Raw genomic sequence first — 2,750 nt, forward strand, 5'->3', positions numbered from 1 at the left:
TTAGTCTGGGCTTCCTAGGGAACCAGCTGAGTGGCCTTGGACTCAACCCTGTACCTTTCTGCTCCTCAATTCCTCATCTGTGACACAAGCTTAATTCACCTGTTCTGTGTGCTCATAGGCTGTTATCTGGCTCAACTGTGAAAACACTTTGAAATCACCATTATCATCATCCTCATGGTGGAGTTTTCAGTTGTGCATGTACAACTGGAAGCCATTGTGTCAGAAGCGTTTGAACCAGAGCAACTCCATCTTGAATAGGGGCTGGGTAAAATGAGGCTGAGACCTACTGGGCTGTGTTCCCAGGCAGTTAAGACATTCTAAGTCAATGGATAAGATAGGGTGTCAGCACAAGACACAGGTCATAAGGACCTTGCTGATAAAACAGGTTGCAGTAAATAAAGAAGCCAGCTAAAACCCACCAAAATCAAGATGGCAATGAGTGTAGGATCCTCACTGCTACAGTCCCACCAGCACCATGACAGTTTACAAATGCCATGGCAACATCAGGAAGTTACCCTATGTGCTCTAGAAAGGGGAGGCATAAATAATCCATCCCTTGTTTAGCATATCATCAAGAAATAACCATAAAAATGGGCAACCAGCAGCCCTTGGGGCTGCTCTGTCTACGGAGTAGCTATTCTTTTATTCCTTTCCTGTCTTGTCTTTTTTTTTTTGAGACAGAGTCTGGCTCTGTTACCCAGGCTGGAGTGCAGTGGCATGATCTCAGCTCACTGCAGCCTCCACCTCCTGGGCTCAAGCAATTCTCCTGCCTCAGCCACCTAGTAGCTGGGATTACAGGCGTGCACCACCACACCCGAATATTTTGTATTTTTCTTTTTCTTTTTTTTTTTTTTTAGTAGAGATGGGTTTCACCATGTTGGCCAGGCTGGTCTCGAACTATTGACCTCAGATGATCCGCCCACCTCGGCCTCCCAAAGTGTATTCCTTTACTTTCTTAATAAACTTGCTTTCATTTTAGTCTACAGTCTCACTCTGAATTCTTTCTTGTGTGAGATCCAAGAACGTTCTCTTGGGGTCTAGATGGGGACCCCTTTCCTGTAACAAGTGTACAGTTGGAGGCCATTGAAAAACAACCAAGCCTAAGATGGGACATGATACCATCTTAAGAATATTTGTATTTGTCTCTCTGACACTGTCTGCAGACTAGGGTCACTCAAAGGATGGATGTGGATCTCTTGATTTTCCAACTCTCACTTTCACCAAGCATTTTGACAAGGGTTGGAGGGGTCCTTTAATAAGAGGTATAGGCGAAGGAGGTAGGAACTAGTCTCTTCATCTGGACCAGAGAAGGAACTCTGGTTCTGCAAACAAATGAAAAGCTTAGGAAGGCCTTGTCCTGACAAAATTCACAGGCTTCTAATCCTCTCCCTTCCCCACCTTAAAAACACACAAAATTAAGGAAAAGACAAGAAAGGCGGTAAGATTCTTGAAAGAGCTTTCAAAAATGAGAAAAGAAAAACAAGAGAATAAACAGCACAATGTGTCCTGATATGTTAATATGTTTCCCTTTCGTTTTGCGTTTTTTTTCCCCTTTCCTTCAAAAAAAAAAAAAAAATCTAGGATTTTGTCTCCTCTAAGGAGAAATTAGGAAGGAAAATCTGACATAATCTCCAGAGCTGTAAAACTTCTTTGTATGCCGTCACTTGAGTGCTTTTTCTTACATTCCCTTAAGTAGCCAACCTACCATGTGGCGAGTTTGTGAAGCCAGGAAGGGAGGCAGTAACCCGAGAGGCGCTGCAGGGCGGCTCCCCACGGCGAGGGAGGGCAGGCGGAGCCCCAGCTCCTCCCAGCCGGCTGAGCGCTCGGCCCCTCCTATGGCCGCAGGGGAAAAGGAGGAGAGACCTACATTTAAAAAGGCAGGAACCTACCAACTGCAGAGTGAGAATTCCCATTCGTGAGGTCAAATCGAGGTCAAGAATTTCCTAACCATCTCTGAAAACCCCCTATTTAGGGGGTCAAGTCGGGCTGGCAACGCCCCAAATCATTAACTAAATCTAACTTGATCTTCAAAAACACAGCCTAGGACTGTTTTTCTTTCTTTCTTCTGCCTGAATGTTTCTCAGTGGCATTTCTGTTACTTCCTGTTTGTGACCGGGCTTTCCTTGCCCTACTTCCTTTTTTAGGGGTTTAGGTTGCCTCGACGGCCATTTCCACTTAGATAGATGGAAAAGGGGTGTGTGTGCGTTGGATTGGAAGGGAAACAGCTCACATTTATTTTTATGTTGTAAAAGTCTTTTCTCATGCATTCACATTCTTTCATTTACGTTCTACAGCAACACTATGAGACCAACAATATGATTATGCCCAAATTACAGTTAAAGAAACTCAGGCTCAAAAAGATTAAATAAGATGTCCAAGTTCACGCATCACATAAAGGCGCAAAACCTGGATCTGCGTTCCAAGGGTCTGAAATCCAAAGGGGCTTGGGGATTTCACGAGGTCTGAATCTAAAACTGAAGTTCTTTTCATTTATTGAACCCTTAAGGGAGACCTAACTTTAACTTATTTGGCAAAACTTTATTCAGGGAAGACTTTTATTCAATCTTTATTACAGAGTTTATTCTTCAAATGTAAAGAAAAGACTTAGCTTAGTGCCTTCCCCAGAGCAGTGGGAGAATTATGAAAGATGTACTATTGCTTTTTTTTTTTTTTTTTGGCAACCTCTCTGCTCTGCTGGCTTTCACCCTGGCCATCCCAGGACCGAGCTGGGGCGTTCAAGCTTGCCTCGG

At 43.9% G+C, this 2,750-nt stretch overlaps 2 annotated features.

Moving 5' to 3' along the window:
• Nucleotides 704-1,204: an enhancer, noted in NCBI's record as "H3K27ac hESC enhancer chr4:38319550-38320050 (GRCh37/hg19 assembly coordinates)". NCBI's record gives its function as "activates a minimal SCP1, AML or CMV promoter by ChIP-STARR-seq in primed H9 embryonic stem cells {active_cell/tissue: H9 hESC(primed)}" and the evidence as "EXISTENCE:reporter gene assay evidence [ECO:0000049][PMID:30033119]".
• Nucleotides 1,205-1,705: an enhancer, noted in NCBI's record as "H3K27ac hESC enhancer chr4:38320051-38320551 (GRCh37/hg19 assembly coordinates)". NCBI's record gives its function as "activates a minimal SCP1, AML or CMV promoter by ChIP-STARR-seq in primed H9 embryonic stem cells {active_cell/tissue: H9 hESC(primed)}" and the evidence as "EXISTENCE:reporter gene assay evidence [ECO:0000049][PMID:30033119]".

The sequence above is a fragment of the Homo sapiens genome, chromosome 4, assembly GCF_000001405.40.
Source record: "Homo sapiens chromosome 4, GRCh38.p14 Primary Assembly".
In the NCBI taxonomy this organism is placed as follows: domain Eukaryota; kingdom Metazoa; phylum Chordata; class Mammalia; order Primates; family Hominidae; genus Homo; species Homo sapiens.